This window comes from Homo sapiens, chromosome 10 (genome assembly GCF_000001405.40).
Source record: "Homo sapiens chromosome 10, GRCh38.p14 Primary Assembly".
Taxonomy (NCBI): Eukaryota; Metazoa; Chordata; class Mammalia; order Primates; family Hominidae; genus Homo; species Homo sapiens.
The window spans coordinates 23,308,025-23,331,242 of record NC_000010.11 but is presented as its reverse complement, the minus strand read 5'-3'; the positions used below and the strand labels follow the sequence as shown (position 1 = coordinate 23,331,242).

The 23,218-nt window shown below is 41.4% G+C and overlaps 1 protein-coding gene across 14 annotated transcripts in view, besides 1 other annotated feature; it reads left to right on the top strand.

Annotated features, from left to right (window-relative positions):
• Positions 1-23,218, top strand: part of C10orf67 (chromosome 10 open reading frame 67) — a 142,882-nt gene that overhangs the window by 13,555 nt on the left and 106,109 nt on the right. For 10 of the 14 annotated variants that reach the window (XR_930487.2, XM_017016031.2, NM_001365862.2 and 7 more), the window contains 2 exons: positions 8,706-8,849; positions 10,428-10,502. Coding sequence is in view for 12 of the 14 variants with exons in the window: in XM_017016031.2 (XP_016871520.1) it covers positions 8,706-8,849; positions 10,428-10,502 (219 nt within the window). In the remaining 2 variants the exon portion in view is untranslated. Of the gene's footprint in view, positions 1-8,705; positions 8,850-10,427; positions 10,503-12,324; positions 14,657-19,035; positions 19,145-21,182; positions 21,293-23,218 lie in introns of those variants that run through there. The other 4 variants (XR_930488.2, XM_011519445.3, XM_011519446.2 and 1 more) reach the window with 4 other exon arrangements.
• Positions 5,917-5,966: an enhancer, noted in NCBI's record as "active region_3151". NCBI's record gives its function as "activates an Ori minimal core promoter by ATAC-STARR-seq in GM12878 lymphoblastoid cells {active_cell/tissue: GM12878}" and the evidence as "EXISTENCE:reporter gene assay evidence [ECO:0000049][PMID:35858748]".

Genomic DNA, 23,218 nt, shown 5'->3' with positions numbered 1-23,218 from the left:
CTTCCCTTCCCTCCTCCCTTCCCTTCCCTTCCCTCTTCCCTTCCCTTCCCTTCCCTTCCCTTCCCCGTCCCGGTTCCCTTCCCTTCCCTTCCTGGTTCCCGTCTCGGTTCCTCTCCCTTCCTGTCCTGGTTCCCGTCCCAGTCCCCTCCCCTCCTATCCCCTCCCTCCTCCCTTCCCTGTTTCTCTCCCCTCCCCTCTTTTCCCGGTTTCCCTCCCCTCCCCTTTCTTCCTGGTTTCCTTCCCCTTCCCTCCCTTACCAGTTTCCCTCCCCTTCCCTTCCCGGTTTTCCTTCCTTTTTTCCTAGTTTCCTTCCTTTTCTTACTTCTTCCGCTAGAGCATGGATCCTACTGTTTGAACCGTGAGGTTGAAACAATATACAGCAGAGTAATAAGACGGAAGAATCTTAGATCATTTCACCCATTGATTGCCAAGGTAGATTTCTAGGGAGAGAAATTAACTTATTTCTCGTTTATGCTTCTGTTATTTTGATTTTTTTTTTTTTTGAGACAGAGTCTTGCTCTGTCGCCCAGGCTGGAGTGCAGTGGCACGATCTCAGCTCACTGCAACCTCCGCCTCTCAGGTTCACGCCATTCACCTGCCTCAGCCTCCCGAGTAGCTGGGACTACAGGCGCCGGCCACCACGCCCGGCTAATTTTTTATATTTTTAGTAGAGACAGGGTTTCACCTTGTTAGGCAGGATGGTCTCTATCTCCTGACCTCGTGATCCATCTGCCTCGGCCTCCCAAAGTGCTGGGATTACAGGCGTGAGCTTTATTTTTTGAGACAGGGTCTCACTCTGTCACGTAGACTGGATTGCAGTGGCAGGATCATAGGTGACAACAGCCTTGACTTCCTGGGCTCGAGTGATCCTCCCACCTCAGCCTACTGAGTAGCTGGGACTACAGGTGTGTGCCACCACAGCTGGCTAATATTTTTTTCTATTTTTTTGTAGAGACAGAGTCTCAATATGTTGCCCAAGCTGGTCCCAAATCCCTGGCCTCGAGTGATCCTCCTGCCTTGGCCTCCCAAAGTGTCGGGAATACAGGCATGAGCCACCAAACCTGGCTATTTGGATTTTTTGTTATAGCTGAACCAAAATCTGATACAAATGTTAAATCAGATTAAGGATGTCTTCTTCTATTTCTAATTAATAAGAGGCATTTAAAAAAATCATGTATGACTGGGTTTGAATACTTTTCATGGACTTATTGAGATGATCATGCACTCATATGGCTTTTCTCCTTTATCTGATGATGTGGTAAAATTTGGTTTTTGAATAGTAAACCATCCTTGACTTCCTGAAATAAACCTAACTGGATCATAATATTTCCTTTTGCATTTCTGCATTATTTGCTATTATTTTATTGAGGATTTATTTTCCTCTGTTTTAAGCGAGATTGCCCTATAATTTTTTTCTTTTCTTTTCTTTTTTTTTTTTTTTTTTTGAGACAAGTTCTTGTTCTGTTGCCCAGGCTGGAGTGCAGTGACAATCATAACTCACTGTGACCTTGAACTCCTGGAATCAAGCAGTCCTCCCACCTCAGCCTCCTGAGTAGCTGGGATTACAAGAGTGCACCACCTTGCCCAACTAATTTTTAAATTTTTGGTAGAGATAGAGTCTTGCTACGTTACCCAGGCTATACTCTATAATACTCTTTTCTTACACTATTGTTGTTCAATCTTGGTACCAAGATCACAGTATCCTCATAAAATGAGAAGTGTTCCCTAGTCTATTCTCTGGAATACTTCACATAAGATTGGGAATATCTATTTCTTCAATGTTTGTTAGAACTGGCATGTAAAACTGTGCTTATTTTTATTGCTATTGTTATTTTGTTATGTATGTATTCCCATTTTCTTAAATATTCTGGGTCACTTTTGATGTTATGTTTTTCTATTAAAGTATTTATTTTTGGTAAATCTTCAAATTATTGGTATAATATTTATTGTCTTTTATTATTTTTAAGTATTGTATCTGTAGTTATATTCCTTTTTAAATGTTTAATGTTGTCTGATATTGTCTGCATATCTCCTCTCTTTTTTCTTAGTGACTCTTGGCAGAATTGTCTATTTCATTATTTTTTATTTCAGACACTCAATTTTAGGATGTATTAATCCTCTATATTGTATCTTTATTTTCTAGTTCATAAATTTATTTCCCTATATTTATTATTCCTTATTCCTTTCTGTTTACTCTTTCTTTCTTTTCTTTTTTTCTTTCTTTCTTTCTTTTTTTTTTTTTTTTTTTTGTTCGTTTATGAGACAGGGTCCACTCTGTTGCCCAGGCTGGAGTGTAGTGGCAGAATCATGGCTCACTGCAGCCTTGACCTCCTGGGCTCAAGTGATCCTCCTGCCTCAGCCACTTGAGTAGCTGGAACTACAGGCACATGCCACCACACCTGGCTAATTTTTACAATTTTTTGTAGAGATGGGGTTTCACTATGTTGCCCAGGCTGGCCTCAAACTTCTGAGCTTAAGCGATCCTCCTGCCTCAGCCTCTCAAAATGTTAGGATTACAGGTGTGAGCCACTGTGCCTGGCTTTTTTTTTTTTTTTTTAATCTCTTGAGTTGGATCTGGGTATCAATTAGGATAGCATATAGCTCCGTGTTTAGAAAAAACAACTGCATTGGCTTCATAAAATATCAAGAGGTATAGAGTTAGAGAATCCAGAGTTAGTGCAGTAGCTCTCTGATCTGTGTGATGTAGATTCATTTTATCTTCTCACATCTCCACCATTAGTGCCTGACTTTTGCTGCCCTAGTTCTGATCCAGTAGCAAGATGGCTGCTCCCCTTCCAGCTTCTATGGAAGGAGAATATGGGAGAAGTAGGGAGGAGTGGTAATAGCTATCTTAGGAAAGCAAAAACTTTCCATAGAAAGCCTTGCCATATGTTTCTTTGGCCGTAACTGTATCACATGATCACTTGACCTACAAGGAGCTATAGAGAAGTATTTTAGCTATGCACATTGCCGCCCGAGACAATGTCATGGTTCCATCAGTAAAGAAGAACCATGATGCCGGATATTGGGCTGACAGCTACCAATGCCTATAGATCGTAGATTTTGAGGCTTTCTTCTTCTCTTTTATAGGCAGTTAAAACTACAAATTTCCCACTAACTACATTTTTAGCTCCTACAAACTTTGAAATATAGTATTTTTATTAGTATTTAAATTTAAATACTCGAATTTTTCATTTGTTCATTTCAACTGTATAATAAGAAAGTTATTAAATTTTCAAAGATGCTTTTTAGAATATTTTTATATTGCTGATTTTTAACTTCAGTGCTTTCTTGTTGGAGAACGCAGTCCTTGTGCAACAAATTATCTGGTGTTTGTTGCAATTTGTGTTGAGGCTTTGTGTGAGGTCAGTCTTTGTCAATGTGGCATAGATGCAGGAATTTTTTTTTTTTCTCCCCCGAGATGGAGTCTTGCCCTGTCACCCAGGCTGGAGTGCAGTGGTGCGATCTCTTCTCACTGCAACCTCCACCTCCCAGGTTCAAGCGATTCTCCTGCCTCAGCCTCCTGAGTAGCTGGGATTACAGGGGCACGCCACCACGCCCGGATAATTTTTGTATTTTTAGTAGAGATGGGGTTTCACCATGTTGGCCAGGCTGGTCTCAAACTCCTGACCTCGTGATCTGCCTACCTCAGCCCCACAAAGTGCTGGGATTACAGGTGTGAGCCAACGTGCCTGGCCAGGAAATTTTAAAAAATCTGTATTTATTAATTATTGAATTTATGTATTTTTTCTATATGAAGGCTTTGGCCATATTGTCCATTTTGTTCAATGTTAATTTATCTGTATCAACATTCTTTGGGCTAGTATTTACCTGGTAAATCGTTCTGATTTCTACACTGACATTATTTCTGTGTTGTGTCTTAGATATATCTCTTATAAATTGTATATAGTTTTGAAAAATCCAACCTAATAATTTCTTTTAATAGCTAATTTATTCTATTAGTATTAATTTTGACTACTGATAAATTTGTATTTTCTGCCAATTTCTTTTTTAATTTCTCTTTATCTTATTTTTCTATACCTTTTTTCTCCTTCCCTACTCTCCAATGATTGTATTAACTTTTCTTTAGTTTCTATTCTCTCCTCTACTAATAATTAACTATTTTATCTTTATTCTTTTAATGATTAATCTCAAATTTGAACATTCAACAGTTGACTAGAATTTGTAATTTCTACCGTACAGTACAAGAAATGTAGAACCTTTATCTCTAATTGTGTCCTTCTGTCTTTTTTATTATTATTATCAAGTATTTCAGTTGTTTTCTCCTAATATTTTTGCAGTTAACTCTTCATATTGTTTTATGCAATTAATGCTTGTTTAGATTTACTCAAATTTACCAATTTCTTTGCTCATCGTTCTTTCCCATATCTCAGTACTTCTTTCTGCGCTTAATTTTCATTATTTCTAAAGATCTTTTGACCCTTTGTTCAGCAAGGATTATAGTGTACTTAGCATTAATATTGCACAACTTCATGTAAAACGCAATAACCTTGTAACTGTTTACCACCCTCCCATCTTTTATGCTGAGTATCATACGTATTGCATCTATTATACATACATTACAAACTCATGATGTTTGCTTTAAACAGTGCTATAAATTTTAAGCTAATAAGAGGAAAGCTAGTATTTTATATGTACCTAGATATTTACAATTTCCTTTGCTCTTTATTATTTCCTGAAGATCTAGCTTTCCAGCCCAAATTATTTCTCTTTAGCCTAAAAAACTTTATTTAGCTATTCTCCTACTGTAGGCAAAGAATTTCTGTTTTATTTAAAATGTTTTTACATTGAATATAGAATTCCGGGTTGACAAGTTGTGTTTTGTTTTGTTTTCTCACTTTACAATTGCTCTGTAGGCTTTAATAGTGTCTAAGAAAATAACCATTATTAGTCATTCCAAATGTTATTCCCCTGTATGTAGCTGTTTCTTTTCTGTCTGCTTTCAACATTTTCTTTTAATCTTTGGTTTTCAACAGCTTGATTATTATGTACCTAAGTGTGGTTTTGATGCATTTATCCTGCTTGGATAAATAAATTAAGCATCTACAATCTGCATGTTTCACCAAATTTGGGAGATTTGGAGCCACTAAATATATCTTCAAATATTTGTTCCACCCCACTTTTTCTATCCTCTCCAATTACTTGTATGTTAGACTTCTCATTATTAACTCACAAGTCCCTAAACTCTGTCCATTTTGTAAAATTTTAAAAATCTTTCTTCTTTCTATTTTTTATTGATACATCTTCAAGTTCACAGTTTTTTTCTGCCATCTTTGTTCTTCTGTTAAGTACTTTCAGTGAAGTTCAAATTTTGGATATTGTATTTTTCAATTTGGGAATTTGTTTTCTTTATCAAAATTTTCTGTTTGTTGATATTTCCTTTTTTCATTTATTACAGCATATTTTGCTTTGCTTCATCATGCATAGTTATAATAACTGCTTTAACATCTTTGGCAATTCTGACATTTTGGTAATATTGGAATTGGTTTCAATCATCTTTTGTCTTGAGACTGAATCACATTTTCCTGTTTTTTTTTTTTATATATATAATCCAAGTAATTTGGATTATATTGTGGACAGTGTGGATGTTATCTTCTGGGTTCTGATATAGTCCCCTAAAGAATGCTGAAGTTTTTTTGTTGTTGTTGTTATTGGTTTTGTTTTTTTGTTTTTTGTTTTTTTTTTTTTTGCACACAATTAACTTGTTTGGATTAAAACAGAAAATTATATCTTTTTTTTTTTTTTTAGCAGCCCAAATCTTGGTTTTGTTATATTATCTCTAGCTGGGCTATTTGCAGTCTGCCCCATGTATGTATCTCTCAGGGATGAGCCAGAGGTTTGTTCAGAGGTAGGTTTCATTTTTGTTTTTTGCTTTTTTGTTTATGAGACAGAGTCTCCCTCTGTTGCCCAGGGTGGAATGCAGTAGCACAGTCATAGCTCACTGCAGCCCCAAACTCCTAGGCTCAAGTGATCATCCCATCTCAGCCTCCCAAGTAGCTGAGACTACAGGCTACACACCACCACGCCTGGCTAATTTTTAAATTTTTTGTAGAGATGAGGTCTCACTATGTTGCTTAGGCTGGTCTTAAACTGCTTGCCTCAAGTGATCCTTCCTCCTTGGCCTCCCAAAGTGCTGGGATTACAGGCATAAGCCATCATGCCTGGCTTGTTCAAAGTTTTTACAGTGATTTTAGAGTTCCCCTTTCTGATTTTTTTTTCACCTGGGACCCCACCCAAACACTGTCACTTAACCTCTCAAAGTCTTGATATTCTCACCAGTAAAATAAAACCTCCTATATAGTATGAGGATACTAAAATGAAATTCTTCCCAGGATGCCAGTACACCAGGCGTCAAGTTCCAAACTAACTGTGAGTTAGAAACCATTTGCAGATTTTGCAAGGGGAATGTTTCACATTAGACAAATGTCTCTCAGCTTTTGAATCAGATCAAGGACAATAAAGAAGGTCAGGGAATGAAGAGAAAAAACTGCCAAAGCAGACTCTAGAAAGAACTATTGCCATGGTTCTTATGGGAGAAGGGCAGCAGAAGCAATCCTCCTCAACTCAAAGCTAGGAAGGCAGGCTTCAATGGAGCTTGAATGCATTTGCTGCTATTAGAAGACACAAAGGACTGGTGCTTGACTCATGCTTGAGGAAGCCAAAGGGGGCTGTGATGAGAAGATAGAATGGCTTGATTGGGATCAGTCTGCACTTCCAGAGTTATTGGGGTAAAGGATGTGTAATTGTTTCCCGTAAACCATATGTGGCCTTGAGAGAGAGAGAGGTGAAACCAGTGTAGGGTCATTTTGGGTCCTGTCCAGGAGAGTTATCTGGAAGAACAAAGGACCCCTAACAGCAGGGAGAAGAAAGAGGTGAACTCCAGATTCATAGAACCTGAGGAAGGAGTAGCAAGTGACCACTCAGAGTAGAGAAGCATCTGCTTAGGTCAAGATATAGCTACAAAAGAGAGGGTCCCAGCAATCAGAATCTCTAGAGAATCTACATCAGTGCCCAAGGGAAGAAGAGGAGTTAGTTCTCCTGTCCTGTAGCACCATGGTGAAGCCACCCCACCAGATAGGAACATCCTTGCCCCTCTATCACTGCTGCCTTGTTGCTTGTGGAGATACAGCCACTCGGGTGCTGGTGAGGAGGTGAGCAGAGAGAGCTCAAGGGTGAATCACTCTTTTTCATTACTCTCAGCTTGGAGTAAAGGGAAAAACCTTATGAATGAAGTTGGAAGCATTTTAACTCATATGTGTGTGTGTGTGTATATATATATATATATATATATATATATATATATATATATATATATATATATATATATTTAGACGGAGTCTTGCTCTGCTGCCCAGGCTGGAGTGCAGTGGTGCGATCTTGGCTCACTGCAACCTCCATCTCCCGGGTTCAAGCTCCCAAGTGGCTGGGATTACAGGGGCGCACTGCCACACTTGGCTAATTTTTTGTATTTTTATTAGAGACAGGGTTTCACCATGTCAGCCAGGTTGGTCTCAAACTCCTGACTTCAGGTGATCTGTCCACTTCAGCGTCCCAAAGTGTTGGGATTACAGGCATGAGCCACCTCACCTGGTAGTTATATTCTAAATGCTACTCTGAGGCTGTATTTGTAGCGATGTAGGACTATGTTCCCATGAATGAATAGAGAAGTCATGGGATTTTGTCGTTTCCATTCAGAGCAGGGGAAGATTACATAGAGAATAAATTTTTTTTTTAGATCTCTCTTTTTTTCTTCTTTTAAGTTTTTGAAGAGCTGGAGTCTCACTCTATTGCCCAGGCTGGTTTCAAACTCCTGGGCTCACCTGAGTTTCACCCACCTTACCCTCCCAAAGTTTTGGGATTACAGGTGGGAGCCCTAGTGAATACATTTTAAATAGATGGGGGCAGATAAAAATACATTGTGTTTTGATTATTACAAATGGTTCTTAGTCAACATGCTGGTTACATATTTAAATGCTTGTGCTAGTAGATTCTCAGCAAATGATGATTCTTGCCTCTCTTTTCTGATCTGAAATCCACATCTTGAGAACTATACCTTTTGAGGTATGACAAGGCCAATATTAACACAGATATTTTCTTCTGTGTGGGAAGAAACTGCTAGGAAACTCTTGTCTTTTAGTCCATCATCATATCTTAGTTTGGCAAATTAATTGTCACTTTGAAAGCCTGGCCACCTAGGATGGAATTACTGGAATTCCACAATGCATACAATCATCTTAAAAATCAGGACAGACCTCTGACCAGGAACCCAGCTTATATGTCCAGAACCAGAGAATGAATTGGAATTTTTACACAGAGGACCTTTACTCTCTATCATAATGTACATTTTTTCCATTTTTATTTAATGTGTGTATATATATATATATTTTAACTTTTAGGTTCAGGGGTACATATGCAGGTTTGTTACATAGGTAAACTCATGTCACAGGAGTTTGTTGTACAGATGATTTCATCACCCAGATACTAATGCTACTTCCCACTAGGTATTTTCCCTGATCCTCTCCCTCCTCCCGCTCACCACCGTAAGTAGGCCCCAGTGTGTGTTGCTCCCCTCTTTGTGCACATGAGTTCTCATCATTTTGCTCCCACTTAGCAAGTGACAACATGCAGTATTTGGTTTTCTGTTCCTGTGTTACTTCGCTAAGGATAATATTTTCCATTTTTAGATGATGAAATCCCTCCAGGTAGATTTTGGGTTCCTCAAACAATTGCTTCAGTTGAAGTTTGAGGACCGACTGAAAGAGGAATCTTTGAGTCTCTTCACCATTCTGCATGACAGGATCCTAGAAATTGAAAAGCATTATCAACAGGTAAATGTTCTCTTATTTCTTTTGTTTTATGTGGATTGATACTGTGCTTAGATGTGTATGCAGTGCAGTTTAGAATTTAGTAACTTGTGAGGGCAGTGTAATTTGCATTAGTTGTGTCTCATGTGGTAATTAATACACAGAGCTTCACTATGTGTCAGGGACTTGTGTAAGTACTTAGCATATGAACTGATTTAATTCTCACATTTACCTTATGAAGTAGGCACAATTATTTTCCCTCTTTTACAGATGAGAAAACTGAGGCACAGAAAGGCTAATTAACTTGTTCAAGGTCACCAGTTAAAAAACAGGAGAGGCCAAGCACACATGCCTCTAATCCTACCACTTTGGGAAGCCAGGGTGGGATGCTGGCTTGAAGCTGGGAGTTCAAGACCAGCTTGGGCAACATCGTGAGACCCTGTCTTTACGAAGAATAAAAGCATGAGCCAGATGTGGTGTTGCAGGCCTGTAGTCCTCAGCTACTTAGGAGTCTGAGACAGGGGAATCACTTGAGCCCAGGAGTTCAAGGCTTCAGTGAGCTATGATCACACCACTGCACTCTAGCCTGGGTGACAAGTCGAGACCCCCGTCTCAGAAAACCAAAAAACAAAACAAACGGACATTACTATTATTTCTGTGCCATAAAAACAAGCAAACAAAAACCATCTTTTGCTGACCACACCATGTTAAGTACCATGCTAAGCCCTTAAAATATATTTACTCTTTAAATCTCTCAAAATGTTAAAATGGAAATCCTATTGTCCGTGATTTACAGATCAAGAAACAGCTTGCCAAGGTTAAGTAACTTGCTTAAGGTCAGACAGATAGTTAAAGGGAGCAATGATATTTAAATTCAATACCATCTGACTCTAAAGCCTATTTGAGGCTGGGAGGCGATGGCTCAGGCCTATAATCCCAGCACTTTGAGAGGTTGAAACAGGAGGATAGTCTGAGCCCAGGAGTTCGAGATCAGCCTGGGCAACAAAGCAATACCCCATCTCTACAAAATAAATTAAAAAACAAATTTTTTTTAGAAAAGTATAAAGCCTATTTCTTGTTTATACTCCATGCTGAAATCAGAATTGATATGAGAATCATGGGTATTATTTTTAATGCACTCTCTTCTATTGTTAATCTAAACAGATCTAATCAAATCATTTGATTAATCGGAAAATAACTCTAGTTTGCAGACTAGCTGTATAGATTTCTTTTCATGAGCATATTCCATTCAAAAAGTACAAGGACTAGAAGAAGATAGGCATCACAAATAGACTTTACTACTTTTAAAAGCAATTCTAGGAAGGCACTGAAAGACTTTACTCAAGTGAAAAATGAAATGAAGTGTTCAAATTATCTGTATATATTTTATCTATATGATCTCTCTATTGCTTTTGGTTGAGTATAAGTAAAAATAAAATGTGTCATAACGGCTGCAGGGTGGGAGAAATGATTATGAACTGAAGTTTTCAATAGATTGTGATGATTCAGATGATGTTTTTTTACTATGAGTCCCTCCCTAGTAGGTGTGGGTCATATTTGGAAATACATTATGGTGCTTATTGCATTTATTTTTGTTTGCAGAATGAGGATAAGATGAGAAAATCCTTCAATCAGCAGTTAGCTGATGCCATAGCTGTTATCAAAGGAATGTACCAGGTGAGTTTCTGTTTCTGGTGCCGTAGTTGTGGGCAAGGCTAGCTTCAGCTGCTGTGTGCAAGGAGTGGGGATCACCTTGGCTTCCCAGTCTGTGTTTCCAGCTCTGAAGGCCTGTTTCCTCGATTTTCAGGTCACCTTAGAGGGATCAGGCCTAGGACTGTTTATGCTCACATTATAATGCTTTCCAGAAACTGGAAAATTCTAATCTGGTATTCAGGACACCTGGGCATGTACCAAAGTAATCCAAAGTTTATTTGGTGAGGCCATAGCTGAATAGACTAAGGTCAGATGGTCCTAAGAGAGAGTTCAGAGAATCTGTAGTAAATTCCAGTGAATGGTCTCTGACCCTTGGTGGATTAACTTTTCTAATGACAGGGACATTTCTATCTGCCAGACACATGCTTCATTTTCCTTCACAATGGGAAAATTCCTGCCTTTAGTGGTTTTCTTAGACTCAGCAAAGACTCTGTGCTTTGTTTAGCATTTATAACTATATTCTCACTTCGCATTTCAATATACTTCCATAAATAAATTTTTTGCATACTTCTTTTTGGGCACTGTTTACAAGTTTCTTATCATAGCACTCAACACATCTGTATTTAATTATGTAATTGCTTGTGAAGTATCTCCGTTCCATGCCAGACTGTCAACCTTAAGGATCTCCTGTGTGTTACTCTCTGCTGTGGTTCTGCCTTTAGCGCTGTGACTGGTACGTAATTAACAACCAGCTGCTGATTGCTAAATGCATGAATGGTCACCTGTACCTGTGGCAGACAGTGGTGACGCCTACTCAAATGTCATTCTCTCCACTGCACATTCTCCCCACTGCTTTTTACTGACAGGGGCACTTCCAACTATAGAAGCCAAAGTGCTAGATTCTTCCTCTTCCAGCTCCCTTTTCAGCTATAGCACAGACATAGGCAAAGTCAGGTCCCTAACCAATGAGACCTGAAGGTGAGTTGGCTGTGAGATTTTGGAGGAGGTTGTTCTTTCTCAGTAAAAGGGACTCCTGAAGATATCACTTCACACTGGTCAGAATGGTTATTATTAAAAAGTCAAAAAAATAACAGATGCTGGTGAGGTTGCAGAGAAAAGGGAACACTTGCTTATACACTGCTGATGGGAATGTAAATTAGTTCAGCCACTGTGGAAAGCAGTCTGAAGATTTCTCAAAGAAATTAAAACAGAACTACCGTTTGACCAAGCAATCCCTTTGCTGGTTATATATCCAAAGAAAGATAAATCATTCTACCATAAAGACACCTGCATGTGTGTGTTCATTGCAGCACTGCTCACAATAGCAAAGACATGAAATTAACCTAGATGCCCATCAACGGTGGACTGGATAAAAAAAAATGTGGTACATATACACCATGGAATATTACACAGCCATAAAAAATAATAAAATCACATCCTTTGCAGCAACATGGATGGAGCTGGAGGCCACTATTCTAAACAAATTAATATTGGAACAGAAAACCAAATACTGCATGTTCTTACTTATGAGTGGGAGCTAAACATTGAGAACATATGGACACAAAGAAGGGAACAATAGACACAGGGGCCTACTTGAGGGTGGAGGGTGGGAGGAGGGTGAAGATCAAAAAACTACCTATTGAGTACTATGCTTATTACCTGCATGATGAAATAATCTGTACACCAAACCCTGTGACGTGCAATTTACCCATGTAATAAACCTGTACATGTACCCTCTGAACCTAAAACAAAAATTGGAAAGAAAAAAAAGGGTTCTCATGGAAGACCCTTTCTTTTTCTTTGCTTGACATTTTATGTCTCCTTCTGATGCTTGGATTTGCTGCAGCCACTGTGAAACCAAACATTGAGATACTCTGGATGTGCTGAAGGTAGCAAGGTGGAAAGATAAGAAGCAGAGGGGTCCTTGGTAATGTCATGGAGCCATGAAAGTAACCCTGGACTTGCCCTGCCTCTGGCCTCTTATTCATGAGATAACAACCCCTCAGTGTCTAAGCCACTGTTAGTTGGCTTTTCAGTTACTTGCAGCTGAAAACATCCCAGGACAGATTGCTCTGCTAACGATCTCTGTGACTCTGTGCCAAACTGTGTTTCCAAAGGCATCTGTGACACTGTCTCCCACTTACCTGCTCTTGTGCAATGTTTCTCTCCCATCAAGAGGTGGAATCTGATTCCCCTCCCTTGAATCAGGGCTGCCCTTAGTGACTTGCTGATAAACACAGAATGTGGAGGAAGTGAAGCTGCGTGACTTTTAAGTTAACGTCAAAAGAAGTCTTGCAAGTTCATCCTTATTCACTCTGAATGTTTCCCCTCTACATTGTCCCTCCCTGAATTGAGCTACCATGCTGACAAAAGCCCATGCCATATGGAAGATCTACATGTAGGTACTACTGGGTCTCCAGGCTCATCTGAGCCCAGCCTTTGAGTCACCCCAGCCCAGGAGTCAAAAATATGAGTGGAGAAGCGTCCAGATGACTCCAGCTGCCAGCCATGTAGACTCTTTTTATGTGAGGTCACAGGTCTTACAGAGGAGAGATAGGCCATCCCTGCTGTGCTTCTACTAATTCCCGACTCATTGAATTTGTTTTTTTTTTTTCTTTGTTTTGCTTTTTATTTTTGGGTCTTTTTTTTTTTTTTTTTTTTTTTAGAGACAGGGATCTCACTGTCTCCCAGGCTGGAATGTAGGGTGTGCTCATAGCTCACTGTAGCCTTAAACTTCTGGACTCAAGTGATCCTCTGGCCTCAGCCTCCTGAGTAGCTGGGACTACAGGCATGTACCAGCACACCCAGTTAATTTAAATATATATATATATATGACATGGGATCTTGCTATGTTATCCAGGCTGGTCTTGAACTCCTGTCCTCAAGTAATCCTCCTGCCTTAGCATTCCAGAGTGCTAAGATTACAACCATGAGCCACTGTGCTGGCCTAATTAATATTTAATGGAAGAAGACGGAAGGAAGAAAGAGAAAGAGGGAAGGAGGGAAAATGAGCATTATCTGTAGCAGTTTTATATATATTGATTTTGTAACCAAAAATCTTGCTAAATTCTTGTGTTTATTTTAATAAGTTTTCTATAGACTCTTTGGGGCTTTCTATGTAAACAGTTATGCAACTGAGAATAAATATTTTTTGTCACTTCATTTTTCATCCATAAACCATGTAATCATTTCAGCAGTGGCCTGTCTGGAGCAGCTGCTGCAAAGATGCCGGCTGCAGCAGGGGAGATATGGCCAGGGCTGTACACTCTACTAAGCTGGCAGGAGCCAGGAACAAGCAGGAGTGGTGCTCACCTTCTGAGTTGGTGATGGGGGAGCTCCACGCTCCTAGAGGCAGCTGCAGCTGCCCAGCCATGGCTGCAGACCCAGGCATCCCTGTGCTCTTGGGGGCCTAGGAAGCCCCCCTGCTCCCACAGGCTCGGAAGTGCCTACTCCTGCTGCCTGGCCTCTCCTCACTCCTGGCACCCACTCTGATTTTGAAGCAAAGTTGTGGCCAAGCCCAGGCGCTGTTATGACCCAGCCAGGTGTGTGTGTGCTTGGGATGGTGCTGACACACCAGCCCTCTGCTGCCTTGGCCCCCTCCAGAGTTTGGGTGCCAACAAGCATGGGAGGGAGGCCAAGGGGGCACTGAGGGTGGCACAGCACAGGCCTGCAGGTGTCCCTTGGCATGAACAGCCTGGGCACCATGAACAGCAGCAGGAAGCGACAGGCTCCCGAGTGGAAAGGGATGTGTCGCTGGTGAAGCTCCACCTTCAACCCAGGGGTGGCCTGAAGCCTGGGGGCCAGGCTGCCAGTTCCACAGACTGGAGTGAGAACTTATGGTGCTTTTTTCAGGCCCACCTATGGCTGCCCATTGACCAATCAGCATGAGCTTCCTCCCCTCTGAAGCCCATAAAAACCCTAGACTCAGCCAGACTCTGGCAGAAGTGGGGATGACCTGCCTGCAGAGAGGAGTTATTCGCTGTGGGGTCTTCTCTCAGCTAAGAGCTGAACAGATATCAGGATGACCTGCCTGCAGAAAGGAGCTACCCACTGTGGGTCTTCTCTTAGCTGGGAGCTGAGCAGATGCTGGGATGACCTGCTTGCAGAAAGGAGCTACCCACTTCAGATCTCCTGCAAGCTGTACTGTTGCTCAATAAAGCACCTCTTTGCCTTACTCACCCTCCAGTTGTCTGCATATCTCATTCTTCCTGCGTGTGGGACGAGAACTTGGGACCCACCAAATGGTGGGACTAAAAAAGCTGTAATAAAAACAGGGCTGAAACACACCCCTCGCTCACCACACTGCAGGCAACAAGACGGAGAGAAGAGCTGCAGCCCTTGGGGGCGCCCAGACCTAGGAGCTCCCTGAGCCAGTGTTGTGACACCCTCTTTGGGGCTCTGCAGTTCCTGGTGTCTCCAAGCTTCCAGGTGCCACTGTGTTCCCCTATGCCAGCAGTGGAAGCCACTTGTGGTATACCTGGTCCAGCTGCAGCCTTGCAGGGAGCTGGCACCTTTGTCAGCACCTGGTGCTGCCTGCCCTGCTGCAGCTGGCATGCCTAGCTGTGTGTAGTGGCTGGACCCTGCACTCACTCATGCACCCCTTGTCACTCTGCATCTGGCTTGCCCTTGGCAGGCATGGGATCCAGGCTGGTAGTATGAGCCGAGCACAGCCTGCCCGGCCAAGCGGGTGGAATGAGCACAGCAGGCCTGGGCAAAACTCAGGCAAAAGTGCCACTGACCACAGAGGTTTCTGGCTGGCAAAGCAACACCCCAAGGATCCTGTGACAGCATGGTGGCACATGCTTGTAGTCCTACCTACTGAGGAGGCTGAGGTGGGAGGACTGCTTGAACCCAGGAGTCTGACGTTACAGTGAGCCATGATTGTGCTGCTATACTCCAGCCTGAGTGACGGAGCATGACCCTGTCTCTAAAAGAAAAAAAAAAGATGCATTTAATCTATCTTATCCGGTATTATTCTTGTTTATAATGAGAGAGTAAGTCAGAATTTCGTGGTTTTTAAAAACATGCTTTTGGCCAGGCTCATGCCTATAATCCTAGCACTGTGGGGGGCCGAGGCAGGCAGATCACTTGGGCTCAGGAGTTTGAGACCAGCCTGGGCAACATAGTGAGACCCTGCCTCTACAAAACATACAAAAAGATCAGCTGGGCATGGGGACATGCGCCTAGGGTCCTAGCTACTTGGAAGGCCGAGGTGGGAGTATCACTTGAGCCCAGGAAGTTAAGGCTGCAGTGAGCCATGATCATGCCACTGCACTCCAGCCTGGGTGATAGAGCAAGACCCTGTCTCAAAACAAACAAACAAACAAACAAAAAACAAAAAACACATGCTCTTATAGTTCTTTGTGTCTTCTACAATTTCTGGGACATTGATCTATTTCTAATGTATATCAAATGTTCAAAAATATAGCTGAATAATGAATATTACTCTTTGTCCATATGCTTTATACTTCTAGGAGTAGAAAGCTATGAAATGATTAAATTCTTCGTATTCATCAGTTTTTCATAAATATGTGTTGGTTAAATATGCTTAATTGTGGTTAGTTGACTTAAGAAAAAATTGTTTATATTAAATTAAATTAAAGTCATTATTGGAATCTTTGCTTTGGCTTGTTGGCATCACTTTGATCCATGACCTCAGACAGCCTTCCAGATCCTGGCCGCCCAGTTTGTTAAGGCTTAGTCATAAGGAAGAACAGAGGAAAGTTGAAAATAAAACGAAGTGCTATATACACTTTTTGTAGATTGACAAGTATAAATGACTCTCTGCTGCCCTCTGGAGACCAGTTAAGGTCACAAGTACCTGTACTTTTTTTTTCAGCTATGAACAAGTTTCTAAATTTATTTAACTTTTGCTTCTGGTCAATCGAATACAGCAAAGATAAAGAGTTGTATGTAATTATGTTACATAAAAGGGTAGTATCTGTCTTGCTAGAGTCTCTCTGTTGGCTATGTGAGAGGCTATGTTGGGGAAACCCACGTGGCAAAGAATTGAGTATAGCCTCTGGCTGACAGCAAGAAACTGAAGCCTCTAGTCCTATAGCTGAAAAAAAAGTGGATTTTTCTACAAACTGAGTGAGCTTGGAAGCAGATCCTTTCACAGTTGTGCTTCAGATGAGACCAAAGCCCTGGACACCACCTTAATTGCAGCCTTGGGAGACCCTGAACAGAGGACCTACCTGAATTCCTGACCAACAGAAACTGTGAGATAATAAGTTTGTGTGTGTGTGTGTGTGTGTGTGTGTGTGTGTGTGTGTGTGTGTTTTAACTTAATTTTTTTTCTTTTTCATTAGAGACGAGTCTCACTATGTTGCCCAGGCTGGTCTCAAACTCCTGGCCTCAAGTGATCCTACCACCTCAGCCTCCCAAGGTGCTGGGATTATAGGTGTGAGGCACCGTGCCTGGCCAAACGTGTGTGTTTTAAGCCACTACATTTGGGGTAAAACTTTTATGCAGCACTAGATAACAAATTCATCTTTCATATTTAGTAAGCCATTGAATCCTACCAGTTTTTTGTTGTTGTTTGGTTGTTTGGGTATTCGTTGTTGTTGTTGTTTTTGAAACAGAGTCTTGCTCTGTCTCCCAGGCTGGAGTGCAGTGGCACCGTCTCTGCTCACTGCAACCTCTGCCTCCCGGGCTCAAGCAACCGTCCCATCTCAGCCTCCCAAATCGCTGAGATTATAGGCGTGAGCCACCATGCCTGACCATCCTGCCAGTTTTTTTACCTCCTAAATCCACGTCTTGTTTGCCTCTGAACTAGTTTCGATAGTCAGCGTTGCTCACCTGGCCTGTGGCTGGTGCCTTCTTATCCCTTTTGGTCTTCATTAAGTCCATCGTCTGCCCAGTCATCTGGGTGGTCGTTCAAAACACAAGTCTGACCATATCCTGCCCTGTTTAAATCCTTCAGTGTTTCCTCCATGCCTTTAGGATGAAGTTTAAGTGCCTTAGCATGGCTTAGAAGGTCCTTTTATGTCTTCACTTTTATCTGTTTCCACTTCTTAGCTAAAACTTTACCCTCCCACAATACTGGGCCGTCGCCTGCTTCCCTCAGCTCTCCTCAAGTTATTAACCACCTCCCTGGAATTTTCACATAATGTCCCTTCTTGCTCTTTCTCTGCTGTATAATAGCTACAGTGAATTGTATCACATTTACCCAGTACATATTGATCTGTCCACTAGACTCTTCCTGCAGAGCAGGGACCGAGTCTTACTCATCTTTGTATTCTTCTCCCAGCAGACTGCGTGGCATGTAATAGGTTTTTGACAAATTTTATTGAATAAAGGGTTGAATATGATCAAGAAGAGTGTCAAGATATCTCGACCTACACCATGGTACTGGAAATAGATCATGAATTCCTAGTGGAAATTTCCTAGAATAAAGGCAATCCATAATGTCGAGGTCTTTAACTGTTCTTTCACTCACGTTTTGATTCATTTCATCCACCCATTGTCTGATTTTCCAGCACAGGCCCAGAGCCAGTCCTTGTACTCATTGTGGATAATCCAGTGGTCAAGAGAGATAATAAACTTAGCAATTACAGTCCACATTGGAGGTTTGTACCCAGTGGGTGCATAACTCTCTGTCAATTTGGGTGAATAGTTAAGGAAGACTTTTAGGAAAAGGTGATTCCTATGCTGAGCCCTGAAGGACAATGAATATTTGGGGGAGATGGGGAGAAAACAGGGAAAGAGAAGAGAGGGTGGGGAGGTGATAAAAGAGATTTTGAGGAATTGGTTCATGTAATTATGGGGGCTGGCAAGTTTGAAATTTGCAAGGCAGACCAGCAGGCTGGAGACCCAGGAAAGACTTGATGTTATAGCTTGAGTCCGAACGCAGTCCTCTAGGAGAATTTCTTCTTCCTCAGAGAATCTCAGTCTTTTTCTGAGAAGGCCTTCAACCTATTGGATGAGCTCCATCTACATGATGGAAGTATGAAGGGTAATCTGCCTTACTCAGAGCTACCTATTTAAATATTTATCTCATCTAAAAATACCAGCAACATTTAACGTTTGAAAAAGAGTACCATGGCCTAGCCAAGTTGATGCATAAAATTAATCATCACAGATACATATATGCAACTATATAGATGTATGTGAATGTGTATATATAAGTGTGTAGATACATTTATGTATATCCTAGTTCTGTCTATGGAGAGCGCCTAGAGGCAGTGACACTCCTATAGCAATGAGTACACCTAGAGTTCAGCTTTTAGATTTAAATGATATTCTACACTAAAAGAAACCAGGGCTTTTTGGAGGAGTAGCCAACTCCAGGGCAGGGACAGGGAAAATGGAAGAAGGACCTGCAATATTTGTCGTAACTGAAGCAAGGAAATGCTCAAAAAATTATGAAGGCATGTCAGAACACAGGAGTCAGCTGGTAGGGGCTTCCTTCATTCCACTTGGCCAATCTGGGAAAATCCATGCATCAAAATAAATAATGATAATTATGAATTGTAACCATTTGAGTAAAATAGGAATCCATGAGCTCACTGTTATAAGTAAATAAGTGAATAACTAATGCATTTATTTATTTCAGGAAAAAGTTTGTCTTACGGAAGTACTAAAATATCTCCCTACCAATGCATATTAATACTTTAACTGGGAGTAAATGCATATTAATTAAGGAGTATAACATGTATTAATTAGTAAGTATAATACTTATTAACTTTAGAGTGAAGAAAGTTAATACTGACACCATCTTAACTAAATGATAAAAGTTAATATCTCTATTATAAAAACCTTCATTATCTAAAAAGGTTGATATATCGCCTTTGAAGTAAGCAATTGACTTGCTTCCCATCCAGTATTGTCCTAGTCAATCTAAATGTTCACAGAGTAATTATTCCCTAGTTTAAATGTTGCAAACTAACACCGGGACCTTAATGAGAATGATGGCACCAAAATATAGAAATTTTATTTTAGAAAGTTAATGAGACAATTGAAATTCCAAAAACACTTTCCTTGAACAGCAGGCAGTAACTATTTTGATGTTGTTACTGAACCCAAGCTAGAATTTCTTTTTTTTTTTCTTTGAGATGGAGTTTCGCTCTTGTTGCCCAGGCTGGAGTGCAATGGCATGATCTCAGCTCACAGCAACCTCTGCCTCCCGGGTTCAAGCCATTCTCCTGCCTCAGCCTCCAGAGTAGCTGGGATTACAGGCATGTGACACCACACCTGGCTAATTTTGTATTTTTAGTAGAGACGGGGTTTCTCCATGTTGGTCAGGCTGGTCTCGAACTCCGGACCTCAGGTGATCCACCCACCTCGGCCTCCCAAAGTGCTGGGATTACAGGCATGAGCCACCGTGCCCGGCCCCAAGCTGGAATTTCAAACTCCTGTGTTTGATAAGTGAATTGTGCAGCCTGATTGAACTTTGTCATACTCAGGCCCTCAGGCCTGGATGTCTGTTGCTCCTGTCAACTTGACAGTTGTCAGAAAGAACCTCTCGATGAAGGACAAGTGGTCACATGATTAGGCTGGGATTTAAACTAAAGGGTAATACATTTTTTAGTAAGCCACCCTAAGATGGGATGTTAAAATGGGACTCTTGGGTTTCAGTTTCATCCAAAGCCCCAAAAGTAAATAACAAAATACTGCTCAAAAGTGAGGTGTGGCTGGGTGTGGTGGTTCATGCCTGTAATTCCAGTGCCTTGGGAAGCCAAGACAGGAGGATGGCTTCAGCCCAGAAGTTAGAAGCTGCAGTGAGCAACGATCATGCCACTGTACTCCAGCCTGGGTGACAGAGCAAGACCCTATCTAAAAAGAAAAAAAAAATAGATGCCAGCAGGATGTTCTTTGAAGGACATTCCAGGACTTGGTGGAGCAGCTTAATTGGCCAGTACTAGCCCATCATCCATCTCCAGGAAATATAAGAGAGATCTTGAATTTGGAAATGGACAAAGCTGGTCAAGAGGACCATTTTGGGGAAAGCAGGCAACATGGAGTGCTGACCTGTAAATGGGAGAGAGAAAGAGAGTATTTCTCCTTTGAGCCAAGCAAGAGTGGAGTTTTAGACCTCTTGGAGAGCTTGACAAGCATTCCTGGGTCTGAGGAATGTGAGGACTGGTATGGGACTTGCCAGAAAAATTTCACAGAAGAGCAGGAGGGGTGATGGGGCAGAAGCCTGCTGACAAGGACCATCTGGAGAGGTGACAGGATGCCAGCAGAAGGGCAGGTCCTAGGACAGAAGCCAGTGAGGCACTGCTCTTGTGAAGGGCATTGCAGGATGCCAGGCCAGCATGGACCCTCCTGGGAACCAAAGGCAGCAGGTTACTGTCAATTGACACTTGTTTCTGTTCCCTTAACGTTTCTCCCTCTCCTCTGCACCAGATAGTTGGAGAATCTCAAATTGCAGAAATAAAAGAAAGAGAGGCTCAACCCTTCTCCTCCACTGCAGACTGCCAAATCTAAGGGGGGCCAGAGTGGTGGGAGGACAGAAGCATTAATGGGTGAGAGTTGGCTAGACTAGAATTTTTTGTTTTGGTTTTGGTTTTTGCTTTCTTCCCATTTTCTTTCTTCCTTTTATTTTGTTGTCATTGTCTAAGGTTAAAGTTGTTACTAAGTTAAAAAAATAAAGCCATGGTGTCTTCCTGAAAGTCCTAAAAGGTGAGAACTATGAGACTAGAAACTAGATTTGCAGGGGCAGTGTGGGAAAATCACACTGCTTTCTGCTATCTCCCACAGAGTCCAGCTCATTCCATAAACACTAGTGAAACATCAGAAACATTCCAGGAGATGAAGAAAAATGAATTCATTGTATTTGGACCTTACAACCATTTTTTGAAAAGCCAAAGGTAAATCCCTCCAGGTGGATTTTGGGTTCTTCAAACAATTGCTTCAGCTGAAGTTTGAGGACCGACTGAAAGAGGAATCTTTGAGTCTGCACTAATAAAACAAGGTTAGGAAGCATGTAAAAGTAAAACTTTTTTGTTCTTCCAAAGAATTGTGGCCCTCCCTGTCCTGAAGTCCAGAGTGGCCGAGCCCATCCAGAAGGCAGGCTGGCTCAAGCACCTCTCAGTGTGGTACCTGGGTGAGATTTTAAATGAGTTTCCCAGGGCACTTCCGTGACATGCTCTGATGAAGATGACTTGGCACCAGTCAGAACATCATTCCCTAAACAGCCTGCATCACTTTCTCATAATTTTTAGTGCATTGGTTTCTGCGCTGTCATGCAATCTTTGTTTTGCTGGCTTAAAAACTTCTGTTTTAGATTCAGAGGGTATATGTGCATGCTTGTTACATGGGTATATTGCATAATGGTAAGGATTGGGCTTCTAGTATATCCATCCCCCAATATTGAACATTGTATTCAATAGGTAATATTTCAACCCTAGTCTCCCTGCCACCTTTTTCCCTTTTGGAGTCCCCAGTGTCCATTATTTTCGTCCTTATGTTCATGTGTACCCGTTGTTTAGCTCCCACTTAGAAGTGAGAACATGTGGTATTTAGTTTTCTGTTCCTGCATTAATTTGCTTAGGATAATGCCTCCAGCTCCATTCATGTTACTGCAAAGGACATGATTTCATTCTTTTTAATGGCTGCATAGTATTCCATGATATATATATTAATATATTACATTTTCTTTATACAATCAACCATTGATGGACATTTAGGTTGGTTCCATGACTTTGCCATTGTGAATAGTGCTGCAATAAACATATAAGCGCAGGTATCTTTTTTAAGAGTAAAATAAACCCAACCTATTCAGAACATAAAAATTAGTTAGAAAGTAAGCAAATAATAAAGTGACCCCAAGAAGAGTGTTCACAGGATAGAGAAAGGACATAGGGGTGGAAGGTGGGTGGGTGGGAGACCGGTGCTAAGGTTTCCAGAGCAGGTGGCATCTGGATTTGAATGAAAAATAGCCACAACAGGACTAAATGCTGGGATATAATACTTACTGGGGGCTGTCTTTGTTGTAGGCACTATCCAAAATTGCTTACATGCATTATCTTATTTAATTCTCACAATTCAGGTATTATTATTAATAGTCCCATTTTACAAATGATAACACTGAGACACTCGGGGTTTAAGAAACTTGTTCAAGGTCCCAAGCTGACAGAGCTGGTCTGCAGACTCAGGCTATCCCACTCTAATACCATTCTGCTAGAATGACAAGCAAAAGTTTGTTGGGTCGGCTAAGAGGGAACTCCAAGTACAAAGGCACAGAGACCTGTGGCAACGTGGTGTTTCTGAGAAGTTGGATGCCGAGTGTATCAGTATTGATAAAATGCCCAGTTTGGGTGAAGAAAGAGGAGAGAAGACTGGCATGAGATGCTGGCCAGGTAAGTTGGCAGCAGATCATGAAGGCTGCCGTTTTGTATACCAGGCTAAGGGAGTTGGATGTTAGCCCGTAGGAGGAGATGGGGAGAGCTGTATTTTAGAAAGGTTATTTGGCTACTGGATGAAGATTGGAGGGAAGTGACAAAACAAGAGGCAGGGAGGCTAGTTTTAAGAAGCTTTTACAATATCCAGGTGAACAAGGCAAGTACGAAGATTGTAGTGGAACAGGAAAGAAGGTGACGAGGTTTGGTACAGAATTAGGGGTAGATCGAACAAGTTTGATTAGTTCGTGAAAGAGAAGAAGGGGCTTAAAATGGGTTTCTGGCTTATGCTGCTGTTAATAAGGGGACGCAGAAAGGATGACAGTGAAGGTGTTGAACTCTGTTTGGATCTGTTGGATACGTAATGCCTAGTAACACTTAAGGGCCCTAGTAGAA